At 39.6% G+C, this 27,174-nt stretch overlaps 1 protein-coding gene across 7 annotated transcripts in view, besides 6 other annotated features; it reads right to left on the bottom strand.

Annotated features, from left to right (window-relative positions):
* Positions 1-18,558, bottom strand: part of HNF4G (hepatocyte nuclear factor 4 gamma) — a 159,186-nt gene extending 140,628 nt beyond the window's left edge. For 3 of the 7 annotated variants that reach the window (XM_017013373.2, NM_001330561.2, XM_017013374.2), the window contains exon 1: positions 18,243-18,558. The gene's annotated coding sequence lies outside the window, so the exon portion shown is untranslated. Of the gene's footprint in view, positions 1-9,637; positions 16,702-18,044; positions 18,190-18,242 lie in introns of those variants that run through there. The other 4 variants (XM_047421737.1, XM_017013376.3, XM_047421738.1 and 1 more) reach the window with 2 other exon arrangements.
* Positions 18,033-18,102: a silencer, noted in NCBI's record as "silent region_19303". NCBI's record gives its function as "represses an Ori minimal core promoter by ATAC-STARR-seq in GM12878 lymphoblastoid cells {active_cell/tissue: GM12878}" and the evidence as "EXISTENCE:reporter gene assay evidence [ECO:0000049][PMID:35858748]".
* Positions 18,123-18,322: a silencer, noted in NCBI's record as "silent region_19302". NCBI's record gives its function as "represses an Ori minimal core promoter by ATAC-STARR-seq in GM12878 lymphoblastoid cells {active_cell/tissue: GM12878}" and the evidence as "EXISTENCE:reporter gene assay evidence [ECO:0000049][PMID:35858748]".
* Positions 18,516-19,263: an enhancer, noted in NCBI's record as "H3K27ac hESC enhancer chr8:76319179-76319926 (GRCh37/hg19 assembly coordinates)". NCBI's record gives its function as "activates a minimal SCP1, AML or CMV promoter by ChIP-STARR-seq in naive and primed H9 embryonic stem cells {active_cell/tissue: H9 hESC(naive and primed)}" and the evidence as "EXISTENCE:reporter gene assay evidence [ECO:0000049][PMID:30033119]".
* Positions 18,663-18,932: a silencer, noted in NCBI's record as "silent region_19301". NCBI's record gives its function as "represses an Ori minimal core promoter by ATAC-STARR-seq in GM12878 lymphoblastoid cells {active_cell/tissue: GM12878}" and the evidence as "EXISTENCE:reporter gene assay evidence [ECO:0000049][PMID:35858748]".
* Positions 20,888-21,709: an enhancer, noted in NCBI's record as "H3K27ac-H3K4me1 hESC enhancer chr8:76316733-76317554 (GRCh37/hg19 assembly coordinates)". NCBI's record gives its function as "activates a minimal SCP1, AML or CMV promoter by ChIP-STARR-seq in naive H9 embryonic stem cells {active_cell/tissue: H9 hESC(naive)}" and the evidence as "EXISTENCE:reporter gene assay evidence [ECO:0000049][PMID:30033119]".
* Positions 24,886-26,085: an enhancer, noted in NCBI's record as "BRD4-independent group 4 enhancer chr8:76312357-76313556 (GRCh37/hg19 assembly coordinates)". NCBI's record gives its function as "activates an origin of replication core promoter dependent on BRD2, P300/CBP, MED14 and CDK7 cofactors, and independent of BRD4, by STARR-seq in HCT116 cells {active_cell/tissue: HCT116}" and the evidence as "EXISTENCE:reporter gene assay evidence [ECO:0000049][PMID:35650434]".

Genomic DNA, 27,174 nt, shown 5'->3' with positions numbered 1-27,174 from the left:
ATAAAAGTCTAAAAACTTAGGAATATATTGTTGTGAAAAAATAGTTATATAGTTGCATGTACAGTAAGCTTATACGGAAAGAAAGGAAATGACCAAAGGCAAGTGGAATTAGTTGTTTCTAGACTCTGCTACCACTTTTCTAAATTATTTGATCTATCTCCTTTTAAATGATAGTGTAATATTCTTACCAATTGACAAAATAGAAATATTTCCATTTATATTTTAAATAGATTTTATACCTTAAAAAACTAATATTAGCTAAACACATGTATCCCCTATGGTCCAGTAATTCCACTCTTGGAAATATACCCGTCAGAAAGGAGTGTCAAGTCCAGTAAAAGACATGTAAACTATGTTCAAGACAGCTTTATTGTAATAGCCTAAAACGGGAAACCCAATTAACCATCGACAGTAGATTTGGTAAATTATTTGTGGCATATTCATCCAATGGCATACCAGAGAACAACAGAAAAATACACAGCAAGACAGTAAAATAGGCGAAATTAATCTTTGCCTGGTTAGGAGCCCAGTGATACTTTTGGGTAGTTGGAAATTTCCTATGTGGCATAGCAATGGTTACAGAAGTGTGTATATATATAAAAAATATATAATATATATAAATATTATATATATAACATATATTATATAATATATGTAAAAATTTGTGTGTATGATTAAGATTGGCTACCATTAACTTAAAAAAATCATTTAAAAGCAATACAAGGATATATGTTAAAAGCCAGAAAAAGGCTAATTTGTTGACTCACTAAATTAACTTCTGGAAGTTAATACTAGATAAGTTGATTTTTTAAAAGCTGCATTGGGCTGGGCGCGGTGGCTCACACCTGTAATCTTAGCACTTAGGGAAGCCAAGGCGAGAGGATCACTTGAGGTCGGGAGCTCAAGATCAGCTTCGCTCAAACGGTGAAACCCCGTCTCCACTGAAGTACAAAAATTAGCCAGGCATGATGGCAGGTGCCTGTAATCCCAGCTACTCGGGAGGCTGAGACGGGAGAATCACTTGAACCTAGGAGACAAAGTTGCAGTGAGCCGAGATTGCACCACTGCACTCCAGCCCAGGTGGCTGAGCGAGACTCCGTCTAAAATAAATAAATAAATAAATAAATAAATAAATAAATAAATAGGCTGCATTGATGTTGGTGAAGCTGCAGAGAAAAGGAAATGCTTATACACTATTGGTGGGAATGTAAATTAGTTCAGTCACTGTGGAAGGCAGTTTGGAGATTTCTCAAAGCACTAAAAATAGAACTCCCACTTGACCTAGAAATCCCATTACTAGGTATGTACTCAAAGGAAAATAAATGATTTTACCAAAAAGACAAATGCATTTGTATGTTCATCGCAGCTCTATTCACAATAGCAAAGACATGGCATCAACCTTGGTGTCCATCAATGGTGGATTCGATAAAGAAAATATGGCATATATATATACCATGGAATACTATGCAGCCACTTAAAAAAGAAAGAAATCATGTTCTTTGCAGCAGAATGGATGCAACTGGAGGCCATTATCCTATGCAAATTAACACAAACACAGAAAACCAGTTATTGCATGTTCTCACTTATAAGTGGGCACTAAATCTTGGGTAGACATGGACATACAGTTAGGAACAGTAGACTCTGGGAACTCCAAAAGGTGGGAGGGAGAGAAAGGGGCAAGAGCTGAAAAACTTCCTGTTGGGTATTACGTCCACTATCTGAGTGATGGGATCAATAGAAGCCCAAATTTAATATTATCCAATATACCCTTGTAACAAACCTGCACATGTGGCCCCTGAATCAAAAATAAAAATGGAAATTTAAAAAATAAAGGTAAAAAATTTAAGATGCTGTATTAATAAACACTCTCAACCTGTACAAAAATTTTAAAAAGGGTTAGATAGATTGTATTATTTCTATTTAACGAACATTTAATTTGATATTAAGAAGATAATGCTAAATATTACTTTAATAAGGAAAAAATAATTCAATAATCAATGTAAAAATCCATATACAAATTACTCATAGTGAATAAATATAAAACATACACCTGCCAACAAACACACACACATAAGAAACTGGACAGGGCCGGGTGCGGTGGCTCACGCCTGTAATCTCAGCACTTTGGGAGGCCGAGGCAGGCGGATCACGAGGTCAAGAGATCAAGACCATCCTGGCCAACGTGGTGAAACCCGTGTCTACTAAAAATACAAAAATTAGCTGGGTGTGGTGATGCATACTTGTAGTCCCAGCTACTCGGGAGGCTGAGGCAGAAGAATTGCTTGAACCCGGGAAGTTGAGGTTGCAGTGCACCAAGATCACCCCACTGCACTCCAGCCTGGAGACAGAGCGAGACTCCTTATCAAAAAAAAAAAAAAAAAAAAAAAAAAAGAAAGAAACTTGGCAGAAAGTTTCAAAGAAGGAAGTATATGTGTGCTGGATAGTGATTTAATTCTCATGTTAAAAAATTCTTTAAATGTTCTGTTTCTGCTTTTATAATTAAGAATAGTCATAAATGGCTGGGTGCGGTGGCTCACGCCTGTAATCCCAGCACTTTGGGAGCCCAAGGTGGGCAGGCCACGAGGTCGGGAGATCAAGACCATCCTGGCTAACAAGGTGAAACCCCGTCTCTACTAAAAATACAAAAAAAATTAGCCAGGCGTAGTGGCGGGTGCCTGTAGTCCCAGCTAGTCGGGAGGCTGAGGCAGGAGAATGGCATGAACCTGGGAGGCGGAGTTATGAGGCAGAAGAATTGCTTGAACCCGGGAAGTTGAGGTTGCAGTGCACCAAGATCGCCCCAGATCGTGCCACTGCACTCCAGCCTGGGCAACAGAGTGAGACTCCATCTCAAAAAAAAAAAAAAAAAAAAAAGATAAAGAAAAGTCATAAATATACTGAGAGTTATGAGAGCTAACTAATGTAAAATGTTATTAAGGGCAGAGCTAAGCCAAAAGAAGAGGGATTATACTTTCAGATAAGGTGAATGACTTAGAGAAGGCATGGAGGGAGAAAAAAGTATAAAATTATGGAAAAGGGAACAAAATTCCAGGCCAAAAATATTTCAAATGGATGTATAGTTTGGTACAAGTTTATGGAATAGGAGGTCAAGGAAGAAAGACCAAGTGTTGAAAGAACAAATTAAGACAGCTGAATCTCACAGAGGAAGATATAATATTGCAATTAAGCCCAGCAGAATATCATCTCTGCTCCTAACTGGTTGTGTAACACCCATCTGTAAAATCGGAATGATAATAATATAGTTATCAGCTTGTTATGAGGACTAAATGAATTAATGCTGATAAAGCATTTAGAGCAGTGCCTGTAAATAATAAATGCTCAATAAATATTAGATAATACATACTGGCTAACACGGTGAAACCCCGTCTCTAGTGAAAAATAGAAAAAATTAGCGGGGCATGGTGGCGGGCGCCTGTACTCCCAGCTACTCAGGAGGCTGAGTCAGGAGAATGGCGTGAACCTGGGAGGCGGAGCTTGCAGTGAGCCGAGATCGCACCACCGCACTCCAGCCTGGGTGACAGAGTGAGACTCCGTCTCAAAAAAAAAAAAAGATAATGCAGCAGAGAAATAAGTTTTCAGAGAACATGAGGAGGAAAGATTAATTTCACTGGATTATTTCCTAAATTTAGCCTTTATTTAAAAAAACTTAAAATCTATAGCCTTACAAAGTTAATATATTTACTTTGATAATGATTTTCCTCATCACTTAGAAATTTGACATTAATTTTACCTAGTATTCACTGAGGCCTGATTCACACAATTGCAGCTTTGCAGAAATCCAACATGAAACAGTAGCTGAACAAGCACTGCCCTGATCATATAAACAATGGTACTTATTTCCATGTGAGCCTAAAAGCTAATTTAACACTTAGAACTTAGTGGATATCATAATGGCTAGAAAACAGATAAATTACTGTGGGGAAAATACTAGCTTTTGGTTGAGTATTCAACAGAGCTATTATTATTTCACTAATAGTCTGTCATCTGGACCTAGAAAATAGACACTGTAAAGGTAAAATACCTTCCTATTTCCCCGCCCCTCACAGCATAAGTAGTAAGATATATGGAATAGTCACTAGGGAGCTTGTATTGCCCACTGATCTCAGTTTCCTTCTCTGAAATTTATTTTGTTGTTATCTTTCCCCTAAAGTTCTTTTGCTACTGTTTTCTCAAAGTAGAACACAACAGCATAATGAACAGGTAAGTAACTTTCTCCATCTACCCTCCACCTGACGCGCACACACACATAGAAACAAACAAATGAAAAAAGAGTAGTTTCCAGGGTCTGCATCATCAACCATATAAAGAAGAAAAACATGCCCTGTTGCTCAAGGCAATCTCCACGTGCACCGTGCATGTGGAGAGACGAGATGGTCTATGCCAGCAGTGGCCTCTACTAGCAGGAGCAGCACCTGCAAACTTGCTACAAATGCAGGTGCTCGGCACCATCCTAGACCTACTGAGTCCCGGGGTGAAGCCAAAAAATCTTCAGAGTTACTAGCTTCCCAGCTGATTCTGATGCCCACTCAAGTTTGTGAACCACTTGCATGTGCAATTTCCGTGTAAACTGCCTCTTACATAAATCTTAAAAGTTGCAGAAACTCTAGCAGCACTGTCAACTCTCCAGTGTAAACTAACCCCTGTCAACCCTATTTATCTTCAAACATAATTAAGATAGAGATGATAGGTTTTTCGTAAATGCCAGAAAATATTTTTCCCATACATCTATTTAAAAGTCATTGAAAATAGAAAGCTGGTATATCTAATCTAAAAAACCAATTCAAAGTTAAATTGTCACAAAATTGAATAAAAAGTCATCCCAGATGATAAAGGAATGGTGCAGATTAAACTTCCTTTAAATAACCCTTAGACCTGGACTGACCAACTAGGTAGCCACTGGCCACATGTGGTCACAGAGCTCTGAACTGTGACTGCGAGAAAGTGAGATGTGCTGCAAGTGTAAAATGCACAGATTTCCAAGACCTACCATGAAAAAGGAACAGGAAAGATCTCATTAATAATTTTGCTTGCTTTGTTTTTTCTCATTAATAATTTGTACATTTATATTGGCTATACATTGAAATGATTATATTTTTAATATATTGGGTTAAATAAAATAGATTATTAAAGTGACTTTCCTTTGTTTCTACTTACCTGCGATGTGGCTATAAGAGAACTAAAAGTACACATGAGGCTGAATTATACTTTCATTGTCCAGTACTGCTTTAGAGTCCTCAACTAGCACTTCTTAGTAATCATCATATCTTAATCTAAACAAAAATAATTACGTCATGTAATTTACATTTTCAAGTTATATGTAAAGAATGAGTCAGAGTTATTTTGTTTGTTTTGCTTCATTAAATACTCGGCATCCTAATTTCCTTTCTCCTCTTGCTGCCTGGCCTTCTGTGACAATATCCACTCAACCGTCTGCTGCTGAGACCTCCCAGTCAGCTGGGTCTACTCAGTTATCTCCAATCATCAATAAATATGAAAAAAGACACCTGTACAAATCAGAGGAAACTCACAGAAACTGAGAACTAAAGGATAAAATATATTCATATGATGTTTATGTGTGGGAGATCGGGGAAGGGTTTGGAAGGAATATTGAACACAAATGATGAAGGAAGGCCCTGGGATAAAAAACAGCTTGACTAATTAGAGGAGAATGAAGAAAACTCAGATGTGACTAAAACTTCAGGGGTCAAAGAGAGTTGCAAGAGGTAAAAGAGAGACGGCTGAGGCCGGAACGTCAAACACCTCATAGGCCGCAAGAAAGAGTCTGGACTTTATTCCTAGTACAATGAGAAACCAATCAGATGATTTTAAGCAGGAAGATAACATATTCTTATTTAAGTTTTAAGAATGTCCTCCTTGAAGGGAGCAATGTGGTTACGGAGAAAGCAGTTCGTAGACTTACAGCAGTTGTCCACGTACACAATTGGCTCAGACAACATAGCAGCAGTAGAGATAAAGATAAGTAGAAAATGTGAGGCCCAATTGAAGTTAATATTGGCAGATCTCTAATTTACTGATGAATTAGATAAGATGTGTAAGGAGAAGACAGAAATTAAGAAGACTCCTGGCTTTTGATTTAAGCAAAAAATTGGGAGTTTTTTTTTTAACCTAGTTCTGATATCATAAGAGGAAATTAAAAATAATAGCGAAAAAATATTTCAGTTGGTTAAGCAACTACCAAGTGCCAGAAATGGTGCTGAGTGTTGTCTTATATATGTTGTTCAACTGAAGATTCTCAGGAATCCTATGAAAGTTAAGTGGTAGTATCCCATATTAGAGATGTGCAAACTAAAGCACAAAGAAGTTAAATAGCTAGGACCTGATACATTTATCTAAATCAATAAACCACTGTTCCTAATACATTTATTGCAAGATGGCTAAAGCCATAACACAACTAATCACTCGCTGTTTTAAAACAGACGCACTGGAGTGAGCACACTCTCCTAAACATCCATGAGCTGCAATTACATTGTCAGTGACATTGAAGTGTTGGTGGGCGTGAATCATGGAGCTTGTACTGCAATCACAGTTGTTAGGATTTTACCTGAGAAACTCTGAAATCACCAGTGTAATGCATAACTTCAAATACAGAAACTGCCCTTTGTATCTTAAAGGCTTATGTGTATTTATCTCTTTCAAACAGGACAGAGGGGAAGCCACCATAGATAGTGTCCCTCGGAATGGGTCTGACATCTTGAAACTTTTGCTCAGCATGAAGGGTGCTTTGCTGTGTTTTTCTTTCCATTGATTCAAGAGAAGTACCCAGTTTAGTAGCCTCTGGATTATTGTTTGTGTAAATTCAATGCTTCCTACTAAAACTCACCATTTATAAATTAAGGTGATACATAAATGCCTGTATGAGGACCTGAACCGAGCAGAGTACAAAAGCCTCAAAGAAATACTTAAAACGGTTTCTCCCAAATGCAAACACAGTATCTGCCTTGCTTTGGAGTTCAGCTTACTTTGGCATTGTTGTTTAACTTCTGATAGTCTCAGGGACACAAACATGCATGTCCACAGAACTTCCCTCTGCTGCTATTTAATCAAAACACTATCATTGACTCAAAGGCCATGATGGGAAAATAGTGGTTTGTACATAAGTAGCAGGCAAAAATTATTTTTTAAAAAACAAGAGACTTATCACAGGCAGGTGCAGTGGCTCACGCCTGTAATCCCAGCACTTCAGGAGGCCGAGGCAGGCGGATCACCTGAGGTCAGGAATTCGAGGTCGGTGTGGCCAACATGGAGAAAACCCGCCTCTACCAAAAATACAAAATTAGCCAAGCATGCTGGCTCATGCCTGTAGTCCCAGCTACTCGGGAGGCTGAGGCAGGAAAATCGCTTGAACCCGGGAGGCGGAGGTTGCGGTGAGCTGAGATCGTGCCATTGCACTCCAGCCTGGGCAACAAGAGAGAAACTCCATCTCAAAAAAAAAAAAAAAAAAAAAAGAGAGAGAGAGAGACTTATCACTAGGTTATTCATGAAAGATTCTTCTTTCTATATATTCAGTGACTCCGGATATCATCCTCAAGCCACATCAATTTTGCCATTTGTCCTAGCCAGAAGGACTTGTCAAAGGGGGAATATACTAAGGCCAAATATGAGGAAAGTGTGGATGAGGATATGACTGTTAGGAGAGAGGAAAGCTTTCTACAAGTAAACATAAATGGTTTTGATTCTAGATGTTTGAACCGAGTTGATTTAATTGATAGTCGAAAACAAATATATGCATAGACTGTAAGGAAGATTTAAAACATCCAAGCTTCTAATGAGACAAAACCATTTTATGGTTGCCCTGTTATTATTGGCTGAACTGTGTGTCCCTCCCAAAATCATATGTTAAAGTCTTAACCCCCAGTAGTACCTCAGAAAGAAATAACTAAGGTAAGATGAAGTCAAGTTGGTGGGCCCTCATACAATATGACTGGTGTCCTTATAAAAGGAGATCAGGACACAGACAGCACACCAATCTAGGGGCGGCCACATGAGGACACCAGGAGGAAGCAGCCATCTGCAAGCCAAGGAGAAGGGCTTCAGAAGACACCAAGCCTGCTGAAACCTTAATCTTAAATTTCTAGCCTCCAGAACTGTGAAAAGATAAATTTCTGTTATTTAAGCCACCCAGTACGTGGCCCATTATGTTATGGCGGCCCTAGCAAACTAACACTCCTACCTAAAATATATGTGTGTGTGTGTGTGTGTGTGTGTGTAGACACACACACATTTATAATTAACTAAGTATTCAAAATTTATCGTGCAAAACTAGATAAAAATTAATACCATAAGCACCAGCTTCTATTTGATCAAATATGTGACTATTATCATTTTTATTCCTGATTTCATAAATTAGTTTCAATTAAAATTTCATGTTCAGGGTTTTACAAAATCTATTCTAACACGTCTCAGAAGTCAATCTGCCGTATTGTTTATTTACACATGAAATATCAGTTAAATTATTTTCACCTAATAGATGCTCAAATTGAATTCAGTGAAATCATTCATATGCTTCATATAAATAATTGATAGAACACAAAGGAGAAAAATAAAATTACCTTATTTCATTTTTAGCTTTAGAAGATACTGTAAAAACTGAGATGAGATTAATAGCATAAGACCTTATTAGTATTTAAGTTATTATCAGAAGAAACTGGGCTCTGGAGACGAATGGCCTTGGTTCCTATTTAATGCTTACACTAATTATTTAGTCTCACTGGGTATTCATAACATCTCCTTGACTCAGTTTCCTTAGTAGCATAGTGGAGATAACAATATCTTATACCGTATAGAGTTATTGAAAGAATTAAACAATTTAATATATGTGAAGCATTTAGTATCTAGCACACATAAACTGAATAAATGTTAACTCCCTGTAATCCCAGCTATTCAGAAGGCTGAGGCAGAAGGATGACTTGTCGCCAGGAGTTTGAGGCTACAGTGAGCTATAATCATACCACTGCACTTCAGCCTGGGTGACCCTCATCTATAAAAAATAAAAATAACAGAATGCTGACTAGTCACAGCAGCGTGTGTGTGTGTGTGTGTGTGTGTGCGCACACGCGTGCGACCATGCACATGCTCGTATGTGTGTGTACCAAACCTACAGTAATCGGAATAAATATATAGAAATATTAATATAAAGAAGAGTCAAGATAGCAAGCAATTACACATTTATTAAGTACATCCACCTTTTGCCAGACTCTATGCTGAGCACTTTAAATGTCATCTTATTTATGTCTCACAATGTACAGTAAACTGGGTAGGGAGAGCTTCAGGAAGTTTGCTAACATGCTCAAAGCTGCAGGCTTGAATCACGTGTATTTAACTCCAAAACCTGCATGTGTTTTTCATCACCCCAAACTAATTAAGTAATATGAACATAAACAGAATGATTATGCAAATTTATTTTAAAAGAAGCTCAAGCCTTCTAGGTTTATCTGTGAGAAAATGGCAGGTCCCATGCGAAGTCTACATAGACATGCTGTACAATACTTCAGCAGTTTTCTTAAAGTGATTTTGAACTGATCACACAAAAGAGGCACAAATAACATACAGTAATGTGTATGAGCATATTAAACATAATTACTATTAAAATCATTTTTACCTTCCTTTTAAGGGTACAGCATTTTAATATGGAGAAGCCACACACTGGCAAGTAGACTTCAGTTTCTCTCGGTTATAAGCCACTGGTACTTTACCATAAAAAGAACCTATAGGAGTTAAAAATGGGTGAAAATTTTGAAAACACAGCAAATCAGGACATTTCAAAGCTTCCAAGTAAGTTCAAAAACTGAAGAAAAAAAAGAAAATGTCCAAATCATGAGTCTATTCAGCAGGTAATTTTTATTCATGTTTCCGAAGTTGATCTGATGTTCTAATTGCATGTCAGCCGTATGCAGAAAAAAGTCAGGGCAGAGCCCTGAGCAAGACAATGAAATCAGAATATACTGAACAAAAGGACTGTGTTTGAAAAAGTAAGTTCTTTGAATTCCCATGAGACATTAAAAATAAAACAACAAAATTAAAAATAAAGAAAAGAACTTGATCACATTATTTTTGTCTTAACAAATTAACTAACATATCATTTTACTTTATTTATCTAGGGTCAGGTTACAAATAAAAGACAACTAAAAAAAATTCACAGAATCTAAAATATCTTCTGAGATTTTGAAATTTTTGTGAACCATTCTATAATAACTGTGAATTGTCATTTTTAAAGTACGGGTATACAACCCAAACTTTATCAGAACCTATTGTACCACCTGCCAGAGCTCAGCAGGACACTCTCCCCTGCCCTATTGGGAAAGTGCCCTTCTGAGCCTTTGTAGACCAATCCAGCTGTCATTCTTTCCTCACACTCCATTAAATGTACATATACATGCCCCCCACCCCCCAACACACACACGTGCACACACTGGTTGAAAAGGCATTGGCTTAAACCCCAAAAACCTATATTTGATATTGACTTCACATGGCCCCGAGTCTCTGCGCCTTCACATAGTTGTCACAGGACTAAAGCAAATTGATCCAGGGGGAAACACTGTAGACCGTGTATATAAAAACACTCTATAAACTGCAATGCTCAATTCTTAGTATAACTATTGTTGTTGTATTGATATTTATTAGTATTGGTGCTCACAAAAAGAGTCTAAATTCCATAAGTCTTTATATTCAGGCTACTCTTTATTTTTGAAAACTCATTTTCTATCACCTTTTTCTATTTTACTCCATATTGAGGCCTCATAAATCCAATTTTTTATTTCTTTTTTTGTACATGCTATTCCCATTTATGAATATAATATCTTTACCCTTTTTCTCTTGATCAAATCCTATCCCTTGTATAAGAATAAATTCATGTGGGGAGAAATATTTTCAAAACCCATATCTTGAAAAGGACTGATATCTATAATATATATAGAACTCTTCTAACTTGATAATGAAAAAAAACAAACAACTCAGTTTTTAAAAGAAGGGGACTGCATAGGATTTGAACAAAACTTCACCAAAGATAATCATTTATGTTACATAAGCTCATGAAAAGATGTTCAGAATCATTAGTCATTAGGGAAATACAAATTAAAATCACAATGAAATATCTTATATCTTTTAGAATGTCTAAAATTAGAAGACTGATCATACCAAGTGTTGGTTAGGCTGTAAAGAAATTGAAACTCTCAAGCCCTACTGGTGGGAATGTAAAATGGGACAACTACTCTGGAAACCAGATTGGTAATTCTTTGCCTATGATCCAACCATTCTATTCCTAGGTAATCATATAAGACAAATGTAAGTGTACACACCAAGACTTGATACAAGAAAGTTCATAGCAGCGTTATTTGTGATAGCCAAAACCTGGAAACAAGCCAAATGTTCATCAAGTGAATGGATAAACAAATTGCAGAATATCTATACAACATTATGCTATTTAGCAAAAAATATTTTTAAAAACAACTATTGATACATGCAACCAAATAAATGCATATCAAAATAATTACACTGAGTGAAATATGCCAGACACAAAATAATACTGCGTGACCCCATGGATATAAAATTCTAGAAAATGCAAATGAATTTACAGGTCCAGAAAGTAGATCAATGGTTGCTTTGGGACAGGGAAGGAAGGGAATGCAAGGAACAGGAGAAAGAGTGTATAAAAGAGCTTTAGAAAACCTTTGGAGGTGTTGGCTATATTCACTATCTTTACTGTGGTGATTTCATGGGTATATACATATATCAAAACTTCTCAAATTGTACACTTTAAATATACGCTGTTTATGGTATGTCAATAACACCTCATAAATCCAAGGTTTTTTTTTCTCCCCCAAAGGAATAAACTCCTGATGCACAAAGTAAGATGAATGAATCTCAAAATAATTATGCTAAATTAAAAAAAAAGACATAAAAGGGTACATAGTATATGATTCCATTTATATATTATCCTGGAAAAGGCAACATTAATGACGGAAATCAGATCGGTGGTTGCCTGGGGTGTAGTGGAGGGAAAAATTACAAAAAGGCACAGGGAGTTTGAGGGGGATGGGTGCAGAAATGTTCTTTGTCTTCATTGTGGTAATGGTTACAAAACTACATACATTTGTCAAAACTCACTGAAGCACATGCATAAAAAGGGGTTTTACTGATTGCAAATTATATCTCAATAAACCTGACTTAAAAATAAAGAATTTATATTTAATTTCTTAACCTACTCCAGGAAAAGTGAGTTGGCTTTTCACTAGGTTTTAATAATACTTCCCCAGGACTCAACAATTATACTTAGCATGGTGAATAATAATTTTTTTATTTTTTTTTAAATCTTTTAGACAAAGTCTCTCTTTGTCGTCCAGGCTGGAGTGTAATGCTAGAATCTCGGCTCACTGCAATCTCAGCCTCCTAGGTTCAAGCAATTCTCCTGCCTCAGCCTCCCAAGTAGCTGAGCTTACAGGCGCCCGCCACCATGCCCATGCTCATTTTTTTGTGGGGTTTCATCATGTTGACCAAGCTGGTTTCAAATTCCTGACCTCAAGTGATCCACCCGCCTCAGCCTCCCAAAGTGCTAGGATTACAGGCATGAGCCACCATACCCAGCCAATAATTTTTTTTTATAGGTATCCCCAGCCAGACAGGAGAACTTTAGGAAAGAGTTGTTTCTAAGTCATTGCTGAGAAATATAAAAATGTAGGTCAGTTTCAATCTCTCTCACTCCTTCATCTTACATATTCTATAATTGATCAATTCAGTTTAAATACCTTTGAAACCTACAGATTCTAATGTCTTCTCACCTTCATTGCCACTGGCCACTATCGTAGTTCTCACTATTCCCCTCCCCACCCCTCCCCTCCCCTCCCTTCCCCTCCCCTTCCCTCCCTTGTCCTCTCCTGTCCTCCTCTCCTCTCCCTTTCTTTCTGTCTTTAACCCATTTTCCAAAATGCTGCCAGTCAATCTTAAGAAAAAAAATCTTAACTCAACCTGCTTAAAGATTGTGATGGCTTCCCGGTGCCTTGCAGACATTGTCCAATCCTTGTTACCCACATTCAATATTGTTAGAATCTGGCCCAGTGTTCCTTCCCCACTTCATCTCTTGCTACTATTCCTACTGCAAGTCTGATCTCCTCTGCCCCAAATACTTTTCTAATTCTTCTCTACTCAGCAAGTTCTCATCAGAAGTCATTAACACTTCCCTGAAATATCTCCAGGCTACTCAAGCTAAATGTACCCTTTTTGCTTCTGTTTTCCACGGTATTATACTAATTATAATTATCTGTTATCCTAATATAATAGTGTCACCTTATGTTTGTCTTCAAGGTAGATTATCACTGTTTGCAGTGATACTTATATTTGTATTCCAGGTACCGTGTAGAGACCCTATAACTTAATTCCTGCTAAAATAATATATATTAACTTTATTTGGAACCTGTAACTATGATGTCTGAAATAAGAAAATGCAAAAAAAAAAATTCTAAAACACAGTCCATAATCTTCAGTCAGCCAAGAGCATAAGCAAAGCACAAGACAGTGCATAAGCCCACGGGAACAAAGATTCAAAATACTTAAAACATTAAATTGTCAGATCCAGGTGTTATCATACTTTTAAATGATATCCTACTATTAAATAATGATACTTTTAAATGAGATGGGGGAAAAGCTGCCTAGATTTCTTGTCAATTTTTTTGTTATCCTTTATAAATATGATTCTTCTATACTGAAATAGAGTGTAGGAAGTGTCAAACATTCAACAGACAAAATGCTTAATTTAAATAATGCAAGAATTTATCCATATGTACTTTGAAAGTAAGAACTATTTTCTCATTTCATAGCTATTTAATCTGAAGAAACATTAAATGACTTGCTCTGGGATATACAACTGACAGGCGGCAGAATTGAGATCTGCACACAGGTAGGAATAACTCCAAAGCCAATGTTCCAGCCATGGAACTATACTTGGTGTGATTTTTCTCTACACTGCTTAGCTGAAAGCTCCAAGAAATTAGAGACTCTCTTTCTTATTCATCAATACATCTCCAAGGCCTATTAGAGGGCTTGGACAGGTTTCCAGCGGTCCACAATTTTCTGAAGTTATAAGTACTTTGTGTATATAAATATAATAATCTCTAGAGAGAAGATCAATAAAAACAAGTAACACCTATTAAGAACTTACAACAAGTCAAGCAGTGCTGTAGATGCATTATCTCACTCTACCATAAGAACAGCAACACAGAACACATACCTGGTACTCAATGTGCCAGGCACTGTTCTAAATGTTTCCCATGGATTAGCATATGTAATTACCCTACCAATTATATGGCATAGGTATTATAATTGCAAACATTTCAAAAATGAGGAAATTGGACCTCAAAGAGGATAGGTTGCCCAAGCACCCCTCCCTTCCCATTTAGTGAATAACTGGGCTGGGATGTAAACCTTGCCATCTGACAACGAGGCCTGCCCTTGTGACTTATACACCACGCAGCTTCCCATGAAGCTAGTCATCCTTAAAGACCTTCATGTTCTTCAAAATGTTGAGTGTCACACAAAAAGAAAAAAAGTGAACTCCCTATTCGTTTTCCAGGAAACCATCTTGATAAAATAAAAGGTTTTCAGGGGAACATCAGATGTTATCAGCTAATTCTATCATGTAAAGAGCATACTCTGTCAACATGTTTTAAAATATAAGGTAGGGAAGAACAGGCAATAAGGCAAATCTGTTATTTAAGTTCTACCCATAATGAGTAGGTAAATAGTATTGAGTTACAAAGATACATATGGAAACCAATAGGTCTGTGTAGCTCCTACAAATTATCCAACAGCAGCAAGGGTGCTGATACCTCTTACAGATATTCTGTGGCCTAGAAAAGTGCCTTCCCCAGGGAATATTCAGCCAAGAACAAAGGGACATGGTTTGGTTTGTGGGTAGTGTAAAGGTTTCAACCGTTCCTCTGCTCAGTTAGGCACCTTTGTGCAGCAAGCAACTCAATGAGGACATGGAGCAGCCATAGTTACGTTCACGACCTAGAGCTGACGTGCCTTCATTTGAATCCCCAGCTCTATCCCATGTAAACGTGTAACCTTAGTCAAGTTATTTCATTTCTCTCTGGTTCACTTTTTCCGTCTGTAAAGTAGGAAGAATGTTAATATGAACAGCACAGGATTGTTATAAGAATCTAAAAAGCAAAAGGCATATAAATTGCCTACAATAGTACCTAGTGCATATTAAGTATTCAATAAGAATTACCTGATCTATATGTGTGTGTGCGTGCGTATTCTTTAAAACATAAGAATAAGAGTAAGCCATATTTGCAGAGTTCCTTATGTCTCTATATGAGTGTCAGGACTGACACCAATAGGTATAAATACCTTTGAGGATGGTGGAGAGAAGTAATTGCAAGACTGTGTTTGTTTCAACAACATACCCAGTTTCATTTGCATGGATAACTTTTTAAAGGACCCAGAGCTATAACACCTCATTTAAAATCATACTTTTGCCCTAGGGGTGTGAATCTTCTCTTTGGAAGGAAAACATGTAGTTACAAACCACAAAATCACAACTGCAACATGTTGTTATTGCAAACATGGTCCACATGTTTGCAATCTAGAAATGCTCATTATCATGTATCAGTATCTCCAGCCATTCAGTAAATGGATAGTTAGTAACAAATGCGGTAGATTCTTTTACAAGCTCAGAATAAGATGGTATATTCAAGTGTATTTAATTCCATTCCCATTTTATTATATTTTTAAAGAAAAATTCCCGAACTCCCCAAGTCAGATGTTCTGGGACTGGTTTATATAATTCCCAACAATGAGGAATCAATTTTTCAACAGTAGATTGACAACATTCTAAATAAATCATTATTATATAGTGTTGGCAAGCATGGTACAAGAAATATACTGTGGGTGTTTAGAAAGGCTCTTGGCAATATCTATCAAACATCTCCCTGGTGCCAACAATTCTCTTCTCAGAATAAATATTCAGCAGTACCCATGCAAAGATAATGTACATAGATATTCATATCATTGTTTGTAATACTTAGAAATTGAAAAATCCAAGCGAATATTCTGAGGGACACTGGCTGGTTACATTGGGTAGACACATTTAAAAAAAAATCTGTATATATTGACAGATAAGTATTTGAAAAATATTAAAGAAAAATAAATTTCAGAATACTAGTATGATATGAACCATTCAAATTTTAAAACAATAAAACTGTCTGTGTTATACACATAGAGATTAGAGAAACACAAACCCAAACATCAACAGAAGTTACACTACATGGAGTGGAATGGGGAGGGGGCTCTTTTTCTATTTTACTACGATTTTGATGTTGTTTTATGAGAAAATATTACCTTCAGAATTTATAGAAAAAACAAGAATTTAAAACAAATAAAAACAGGCCGGGTGGGGTGGCTCACTCCTACAATCCCAGCACTTTGGGATGTCAAGACGGGCAGATCACGAGGTCAGGAGTTCAAGACCAGCCTGACCAACATGGTGAAACCCCATCTTTAATAAAAATACAAAAATCAGCCGGGTGTGGTGGTGGGCGCCTGTAATCCCAGCTACTCTGGAGGCTGAGGAAGGAGAATTGCTTGAACTGGGGAGGTAGAGGTTGCAGTGAGCCGAGATTGTGCCACTATACTCTAGCCTGGGTGACAGAGCAAGACTTCATCTCGGAAAAAAAAAAAAAAAAAAAAAAAAGAACAAGGCACTCAAAAACAAATACTTATTATTTGCATGAGGAGTATTTTTTTTTAATCTTAGCAATCCCTAAAATAAATTTGCGCTATCCCATATGCCTATAACCGTGATTAAAAATGCAATATTTGTGAGATCTTAATAAACACACTTTACTAAAAGAGTTGAACCTTCATAAAGCACTTTGGAAAAATGTCCTTATTTGTGGGCCCATAACTGGAGCTTAGGAGAAATGGGAAGACAAACGGCTCTCAATTTTCCACTCCATTTTGAAAAGTGAAAAATGAGCAGTTTACCACCACTCACCACCACCTCCCTCTCCTTGCCACACCTTCAAGTGATACCAGGAAAGAGCCCAACACTACTTGGTCACCTACTTCGACCACACAGCAGATCAGGTGGCTTGAGTGAGAGTATCCACAGGACATGAAAAGAGAGGGAGTGGTGGTGAGGAGGTGGGGACAGGAGGACTCCTAAGGAAAAACGGTGACAGCTAGACAGGAAGAATGTTTAATGACAAATAACCGCTTCTAAAGAGAGAAGGGAAACCTGTAAAATTAACGAGAAAGCAGAAGAAACTAACAAAAACAAAACCAGGAAATGGTGCTCTCAATGAGTGTTTAGTTTCCGGGACATCCCATTCACTTTTGAGCTTCTGGATTCTGTATTCTCTTGCCCTTGCCCGCAAGTGAAAACTCATGCTGATTGTTTTGCTTGTTGTACAGTGCTTTGACTCAGTTCCGAGCAAGATTTATAAGCACAGATCATCAGGTATGAAGCACATATATTCATTCCATTCTAAGATCTTATCACGTGCTGGCTTATTTCAGTTAGACACAGAACGGTTATTGCTTAACTGGCACGTTGTTAACTAAGCTTCCAAAGGACATTTCATCCCAAAGTTAACTAGGAAGATCTCAATACTATATTTAAAATATCCCCCAACGGCATCACCGGCAGATGCCCACTCCCAAGATGTGTCCATGAGAGATGGATGGAAGCTGAGACTTGAGCAAAGGCCATGCATGGGGTGATGCTGCAGGACCAAGCACCTACCCACAGACCTCCAGGGTCCACGAACATCCATTTGTCCTGGCCTTGCCCCAGGCCACAGAAGTACTTACACGGAAGACCCCCCAGAGACCTGGGAATCACATGACCCGCTACAGCCACCAAAGCTTTCTCTGCACCCAAACAAATACAACTCTCTCTCTCTCTCTCCTCTCTCTCTCTCTCTCTCTCCTTCTCTCTTTCTTTCTTTTCTAAGGTAGAGGACTGGCACCTTTCAATTCCCCGGTCCCCCCACTGCCCGCTGCCGCACCTCCAGCGCCTTCTTCCCTCCAGCGCAGGCTGGGCGAGGCCTCGGGGTATCTGCTTTCAACACGGCCTGGCCTAGGGGTCCTGAGGCTCAGCCCCTCCTTCAGCCGCCCGAGGGGAACCGAGGCTCCTCCTGCCCGGCAGCCGCCGGGGCGGTGCGCTGCGGCCAGCCCGGGCCCCGGGCGGCGGCGGAGAAACTTACCTGCGCGGGCCGCTCCCGGAGCTCCCGAGTCGCAGTCAGCCGCGCGGCCGCCGCCGCATCTCCCGGCAGCAGGTCCCCCACCCACCCCGTCGCGCTGTCCCGCGCCGCACTTTTCCCAGGCTGGGAAGTTTGCTGAAAGCGAGGAGGTGGGAAGTGGGGGTGGGGATGGGGGGACTTGGGAGAGGAAGCTTAAGGATTTTGTTGTTGTTTGTTTGTTTGTTTGTTTCTTTTTCCCGATCTCTAGCAAAGATTTTAGACCATATGCTGGGAGAATATTAGCTTTGCTCAATGGCGACAGGGCAGCGGCCTGACTCTCACAGTCCTATCGATTTACTAAACAAACTGAAACGTGGGTGGGGACGTTAAACAGTAACCAGCAGACTCAATGAAAACTGAAAGCAGCGAGGCCGCCACCGCCTCGGCGCGCGCATTTCCCTGTTCCCAAGGCCCCAGGGCGACTGGCGGTCGGGCCAGCAAGTCCCAAAGCCCGGCCTCCCGAGACCGCAGCGGCTCTCCCGGGCCTCCGCGGGGCAGCCAGGCGGTGACTGCCGCCGCCTCATGCCGGAATCTCCACTATGCGGGCGAGTCGCCCCGCGCTGGACCGCTCGGGGCTAGAGCGGATCAGTCTCCGCCTCCTACACCCTGGGGAGCCCCCGGGGGTCCGCGCCTGCAGCCCAAGGCCAGGGCATCCTTCACGCGACGCGGGCGAAGTCCCCTCCCCCGCCCCGGGTCACGCCTCGTCTTGGGCGATGTCAACCCTGGCTTGTGGAAGTGCTTCTGGACACGTGGTAGCAGGGAGAAGCCTGCTGACCCTAGAATGCTGATTTCATCCTGAGCTCATGAGGTCCAGAAAACGGCTGGAAATATCATTAAAGGGAATTAAATGGCTTCCTAGGAGCAGCTCTGAAGCCACACCACTAGGGGAAGCCGCCACCGTTTCTTCAAACTGCACCTTGGGCCTCTGGGGTTATATTCTACCATGACGCTCCTGACCACCTAGCTCAGCAAGAGTTCTGGGAAGAGGAGGGGGAATGGTTTTCCGTTCCCATCCGTGCCAGCTACCTGTGGTTTTAGTCTTTAAGTACCTCTTTAGATATGTATTTGATGGAAAACTTCCCTTTCTCCCTCCCATACCCTTTAGCTTTCGACTTGCAGAAGTGGGTCTCAGACCCGTCCCAGATGCGCTGATCTTCTTGGTCAGGCATTTGTTCACCAGAAATATAGCCAGAGCGCCGGCTTTTAAAAACATCTCAACAATTTAACTCGTGGTTTCAGGAATGAGTGACTTCAGGTCAAACAAGTAATTATCATCGTGAGATAAATAGTTACTTAATCCGTAAGATTTTTCTTTTCCTACCAGAGGGTTGGCTGATATTTTAAGGCTGTAATAACAATGCCAGGGAGATCAAAGGGCTAGGTGTTTTTTTCTTTTTCTTTTTAGATCGGATTTACTAAACTTTCTCAGTTTTCTCCTTCTGAATATCTTGCTGAAAGGTTCTTTGAAAAACAAGTTGTTGGCTGTTTTAGAAATGAGGACAAAGGAGAGAGATCATATACTATTTTTCTTAAAATCGACCTTTTTGAACAAAACATATTCTTTGGTTCCTCATTGCCCACGCGGTTTGCAAACCGTGTCAAGAAAGTGGCCTCTGTTCATGTCGCTCATGGGAAACCATCCAGACACGGCAGAGGCAAAAGAGTTACAATTAACGGGTTATATTTATTATGCAAATCTTTCATAGGTGTGTTGTTTACAGATCACCTGTGGACATTTTCTTTAAAAATATTTCCAGATACTTGGAGAATGAAGGTCTATTCTATGCCAAAATATGAATGTATAGTTTCCATAAAACACAAAGTCTGGAGACAAGTTCTTCATCCTCATTCACAGAAGCTTTAATGACACCTGACATCTCTTGTTCTCAGCAGAGAAATAATATTTTAATTCAATAGTCTCAGTTTATTCCACTGTTAATCTGCGATGTAAGTGGGTTGGGTTTTGGATAATCAATTCATTTCTGGTATGTGGTAGAATCGCTGATCTACCAGGAAATAATCACATGTTCTGTGTACAAAATTATTTTGACACAATATGTAGAACCTTTGCGATAAAATTTATCAACACGAGGATTTTCAATAATGAAAAAAAGTCATGCATTCAAGAAATTAAACTCTGTGAAGTCTTAGTTATTATCTAAGAAAAACATTGCATTTGTTCAATTTTTAAAAACCCCTGAGAAGAGTTTAGGTAACACTGCCAATCCTCCTGTGCCAGGAGCAAGAAAGGAGGGGTTTCAGATGAATGAATGGATGAATGAATAAATAAACGACGTTAAGAACTAGAAGGAACAAGGATTTGACTCCCCTCTGGAGCTTGGCAGTTTTTACTAGATAAACCAATGCTACACGACCAAGCTTTAGAGCATCACTTATATTGTTCCTGAAACTAATTTATTACGATTCTCCATGGCATGGCTTGAAGCTGCTGAAGATGAAAAATGTGCTCTATGGAGAGTCGTCCCCTGATGCTTGGGGGTGCGGGGGGCGGGGGTTGGACAACAATAAGAAGAAAGGCTCAGGATAATTTTTCAGGGAAAGGTTCTCAGTAGATACAATGTTCCATTTCGCTAGTTAGTGGTTAGGGGGAAATTATACACATATATATTTATGTTGCATCTGCTCTTAACCTAAAACTAAATACACAAAATGTGGCGTCAAAAAACCCTTTACTTCACTTTCCTATTAAATGTCTCGTTTAGCCTGTACTTTTCCTTTTCGCTTTGGTACTTTTTTACACCATTCCCCCCACCCCCATCCCCCCACCCCTACTCTCGCGCTTCCCAACGCCACCAAGATTGTCTTGATAAGAACTCCAGGTTCTCCCACGAACCGTTCTGATACTATTAATTAAAAGCAGTGGCCTCAGGCAGAGGGCTCAGGAAGTAGGGAGGGCGCGGGCCCGCGCGCACAACCTCAGGGAAAAGGTCTTTATGATTTCAGCATCCAGAGACCCTATTTCTGAGGACAACTCCGCACCCATGTCCTGGTACATGAAACCATCACCAAACGCGAACGGGAAGTGTCCTCTTCCTGCCTAGGTGCTGCTGGGGCGCTGCCACTCCTGCTGACCGGGTTCAGAACCCGATTTTTCGCAACCGCGGTGGCACCCACGCCGGAGTCCTTACCTCCCCGCGCGGGCTCAATCAGTGGGGATTACCGCCCACCCTTACCCCAGTTTACACGCAGGAAGGGGGGAAAAAGGGAAGAAAATTAAAAGCTCATGCAGTTCTCCTCCCATTCTTTTCTAGATTTGGGCACAGCTCGGTGACACCTTCAAAGCTACTCGTATAGAAAGGACCGCGGGCGGGACGCGGCCACCGGGGCTCAGGTTAAATTTAATCTATAGCTGAGCTACTCGCTCCTCCAACTCACCCAGTGGACCAGTGTTTGACCCAGGGGGCGAAACAACGGATAAAGCAGCCTCCGCCAGAATTTCAAAAACTCCCTGGAGGCCACTGAATGTTTTATGCATCAGAAGGGAAGTCTGGGATTCCGGTCACTGTGGCTAGGAGGGGGGAGGGCTCGGCCAGCAGGGTGAGGGTGGGGGCGGAGGCGGTTTCAGCCTTAAGCCATCCAGGCCTCGGGTTTATGGCCCGGGGCTGCTTCTGGCCGCGGCTCTCTACCTTGTTGCCCCGGCCTCTTTCAAAAAAGCAGAGGTTTTTTGCTCCCTGGCGCAGCCCAAAGCGAGGGCACAGATTGTCGGAGCTCTAAAGCTGCCGACTCGAGCCCCTGGGAAGGGGGATGCTAGGCCATTTCATCTTCTCCGACCTGCACCGTAGCCTCCAACGAGGTCCGCCCCCGCTGGGCCTGGAGCAATAGCGGACTGCAACTGGGACCCCGGGACTTTGGTACCCTCCTCTACTGTTTCATTTGTCGGGCTTTCCACGGGGCGTCCACTTCTTAAAGACTTAAATTTAACACGGTGAAACAAGAACAACAAGAAAAAAATCAGTAGAACAGACCGATTGAACATGGCACAGGGATTGATTAGTACTCCCAGTCCTACCATCACTGTGCAGACTCTAAAAAGAAAAGAAAAAAGTCCATACACTTGCATGACCCGTTTGGTGGTCAGACATTTAAAAACACTAAAGCTGCAGGCGTGGCCTTCAGGACCGGCCACCCTAGTTGGCCCCACATTGACCCAGATAAAAATTAGTCTTTATTTTGCGCTCAAGTCACAGATCAGAAGCACCCAGAGTAAGTTCAGTTTAAGGAAGGCCACAGGAATGTTCCCAGACTCCGTTACCTGTAAATAAAAATGCAAAGCCAAGATTTCAAATTGAGCGTCTAAATTGAAACTACTCTGCGTATGTTACGCATCTGGCTGAGACACCGTGAAAATCGAACATACTTAATAATTCTCAATGTCAAGGTATGGTTCTTGTAACAAATAGGCAAACTACTAGGCTGGATCCCTTCTCTTCCCACTCCCCTCTTTGTAGATTTCCTGCTGAAGTATTGATTGCCAAGGTCTCTACAAGATTTGCAAACTTTTACAGTCATTTATGGTGCATGCAATAAAAACAGGTGATATGAGCATGCTAGTTCAAGGTGTAATGCAAAGATGTATTCGGTGCCCTTGGCAACTATCTGTGAGACCTGTTTGTCTTTGCAGAACCCGCCCTTCACTGCAATGAACCCCTCTGTAACAAAGATTGGCCCTTTACATTTCCAGGGCCTTGGCCCCTCAGTGGAGAGGCACACACGTTTCAAGTAGAAAATTCAGTTATTTCAGCTGTATTTCAAGCCAGGAAAAAAAAGAAAAAGAAAAAGAAAGAAAGAAAAACTTTAAACAAAACGGTGAGAAACAAGGAAAAAAGAACTATTTAAAATTCCCCAATTTCCTACTCTCTTTTTTTCATAAAGAAAACAAAGTAAATCTACAAACAATTTACAATGTACTCTCTCACTGCCCCTTGCAATTGGGCAACCGGGATCTTTCCACTGTGAAAAAATAAGAGAACTGAGATTACACAGAGACTACACCACATTTTGGATTGTATGTGTCCAAAGGAGAAAGGAAAAAGACAGAAAACGAGTGTATTGTGTGAAAATACTTAAAAGCCTTATTAGAAACCCTACCTTCCTTTACCAGTTTTACCAGTCGTTTTTTTGTTTGTTTTTTAGGATCTATGTAGGAGACTGGGGGAGGGGGCTGAAGATAAAATGATTCATTTCTAAAATTTTGTGCTTTGAACAAAACTGGTTTTCTCATCTAGTGCTGCAAATAAGAATGGGTAACAAAATAAGTTCAAGAGATCTATTGTACAACATGAAGGCCATACTTAAGGACAAGGTATTGTACTTTTAAAAAATGCCAAGAGGGTGGATATTAAGTATTCCCCTCACAAAAATGATAACTATGTGAGGTAATGCATTTGTTAATTAGCTAGACTTAACAATTCCACAATATTTATATACTTCAACACATTATGTTGTATATAATAAATACATACAATGTTATATGTCAATTAAAAAAATTAATGAATTTAAAAATAAATAGGGTATTTGCAGTACTCCATAAACCCTTCCAGTCGCTTCATTCTTCTGAAGGTAGCCACTATCCTGACTTCTAACCCAATTAGCTTTGACTATTTTTGAACTTTACATGAGTGCAATTATAATGTGCTTTTAAAAAAAAAAAAAAAAAAAAAAAGGTGACACAGCTCCTGAAAAGCATTCAGAGTCCTATACCTGCCATCTAGTGGGCATAAAAGAAAATGCTGATTCTAGGCATCCTCCATTCCTCTGAGTTTAGTTGTTTTCTTACTTACAAACCAAAACAAGTATAAGAAATGAAAGAAAAATGTAAAATTATAGCTAAAGGGAAAGAAACACACTATTACACTAGGGAGCGTTATAACATAATCATTCAATTTATTTCATTCCTTTTGTGTGTATTAATCATTAAGGTTATTGATCTTCACTCAGATCATCAATTTATTATAATACTAGTTTTTCTTCTAAATATCTTCATATAAATTTTATGCTATTTGTCTTTTTTTGGATTAAATTCACTATCAGCTTTGGATCCAGTTGACAAGCAAATTTCAAAAATTCAAAAAACAGCTAAGAGGTACCTACTTCCTGTTTGGACTCTGAAAATATGCACACAAAGCCATCTCTCATTTTCTCAAAAAGAAAGAGAAAAGGAGGATGAAAAGGAGAAGGAACAGCAGCAGCAGCAGCAAAGAAAGATGGACTTGATTATACTTATACACTCACATGCTTGCTTTTGGTACCTTGCTATAAGTTTTATACTCCTTCAAAATTAGACCTCATCAAATACAGTCAGCCCTTTCTATCCATGGGTTCTGCATCCCTGGATTCAACACACCGAGGATCGAATATATATTTGTTTAAGACAGGGTCTCCCTCTGTCGCTCAGGCTGGAATGCAGTGGTGCATCTTGGCTCATTGAAACCTCTGTCTCCTAGGCTCAAACAATCCTACCACCTCAGCCTCCCAAGCAGCTGGGACTACAGGCATGCACCACAATGCCCAGGTAATTTTGTGTTTTTAGTAGATGCTGGGTTTCACCATGATTGCGCAGGCTAGTCTTGAATTCCTGAGCTCAAGCAATCCACCCATCTCGGCCTCATAAACTGCTGGTGGCATGAGCCATCGCACTTGGCGGAAAACATTTGGGAAAAAAAAAAATGAATGGTTGCATCTGTACCGAACATTTACAAACTTTTTTTGTTGTCACTATTCCCTAAACAATACAACTATTTATATAATATTTACATTAAATTAGGTGTTATAAGTAATCTAGAGATGATTTAAAGTATACTGGAGGATGTATTAATACTTAGGTGATACACAAATACTACACCTTTTTTTTTTTTTTTGAGACAGAGTCTTGCTCTGTCACCAGGCTGGAATGCAGTGTCATGATCTCAGCTCACGGCAACCTCTGCCTCCCCGGTTCAAGTGATTCTTCTGCCTCAGCCTCCCGAGTAGCTGGGATTACAGGCATGGGCCACCACACCCAGCTAATTTTTGTATTTTTAGTAGAGACGCGGTTTCACCATGTTGGCCAGGATAGTCTCGATCTCGTGACCTTGTGATCCACCCGCCTCTGCCTCCCAAAGTGCTGGGATTACAGGCCTGATCCACTGCACCCGGCCTACACCATTTTACATTAGAGATGAACATTCTCGGATCTTGGCATCTTCAGGAAGTCCTGGAAGCAATCACCCATGGATACCCAGGGACAACCTCATCAAAAACAAGTAAAAATCTACTTGGTAGGGCAACCGAAAACTACTTTTTGTTGAAGTTCACATTATTAAATATTTAGCATATGTAGAAGATTTACTGAATGAAATAACCATTAAAAAATCATCACTATATTTTAATGATAGCTGACATTTTTAAATTTAAGGGTGCTTTTAATATGCCAGGATTGTTTTATGGGATTTTAATTAGTTAACACATTGAGTACTTACAACAACCCTAGAAGATCTGTATCGTAAACACCATTTTACTGGTGATCGCGGAAGCTGAGGAATCAGCAAGTCATGAAGCTGGTAAGTCAGAGCTGATATGGTTCCAGAGCCGAGGGTGGCATGCATCTTCCATGTCATACTGCCTCCCATAAACAAAAGAGGCAAAAAGACATCACTGCAATTCAAGTTAGAGGCTAAAAGAGTCTGAGGGACAGAGCAAGACTCCATCTCAAAAAAATGATAAATATTAAAAAAATAAAAGAGATACAAGATACATCCAAAAGGAGCATTTGCTTGAAGGCACATGGTCTGTAATATATCAGACATCCAAATGAAAGGAAAAAAAAAATCAGTTAATTAACACTAATTATAAAAATCAAGTACTAAGAAAAATATATGTAAAAAGCAAAAAATATATTCACTTATCTCATCTATTTAGTATAATTTTTGACCACTATCGTTCAAACCTTTATTGTAGATTGATTCTACAGTCTATGCCCCTCTGTACTTTAATTTCAAGTCATGAAGTTACCAATGCTACTGCAAACAGTTCTTGAAAAGCCCTCCAACATACTTCCAAAAATTTGTCCCTGAACTTAGCAGGCTTCATCATCTCAATTATTTTTCCACTTTGCCTCATTCTAATTTCCAATTTTATCTTATTTACAAAACAAAATGCAAGTGTGTTCCGAACATATTTTTCTATTATCTAATTACAGAAAATATTATCCTCTTTTCAGGACAGTGACTGTATAAACCTGAGCTGGTTAAACGTATTCAAATTCCTCAATAATTGTGTCATGAGAACAAGACTTCTCTTCTGGAAGCATATTGCTCATTTTAGAAACTGTAGGTGAATGATCAATCTATGACACTATATGTTTTTGTTTTGTTGTAATCCACAATATTTGAAATATTAACGATGACTAATTAAGTAGCACTGTAGCGTGTAGGTATTAATTTATGAGTAGTGAATGCTTTCAAAAGCTGACAGCAGCTGGTGCGGGATTCCTGCCATGGTTTAACAAGAGAAGCCACTAGCTCTGCCTTCCTGATCTCTTACATGACTCCAATCAAGATCAGACAGCAGACAAAAGCTGAAACTACAGCAGTCAGGCCCTTTGTATCTCTCTTGTATATCCATGTAGATCTAAGTGCACCTTCCCCTTTTCAGGAGGAAATATTGACGCTCTCACAGGAAGAAGAGATTCAACTCCTGTTTAAGGTTAATCCATCCACCTGTGTTCTTGATTCCATCCCTTGCTGCCTATGCCTGGCCTTGTTCTATCAATTACAGTATTTCTTTTTCTTATATCTTCACACTCTCCCTCTGCAATGGTTTCTTCCCTGCAGGCTATAAACAGGTTCAAGTCTTACCAACAAACCAAAATATTTTAAAAAGCAAAAGCAAAATTTCC

The sequence above is a fragment of the Homo sapiens genome, chromosome 8, assembly GCF_000001405.40.
Source record: "Homo sapiens chromosome 8, GRCh38.p14 Primary Assembly".
Taxonomy (NCBI): domain Eukaryota; kingdom Metazoa; phylum Chordata; class Mammalia; order Primates; family Hominidae; genus Homo; species Homo sapiens.
Note: the sequence above shows the minus strand (reverse complement) of the source record. Positions and strands in the feature narration are given on the sequence as shown.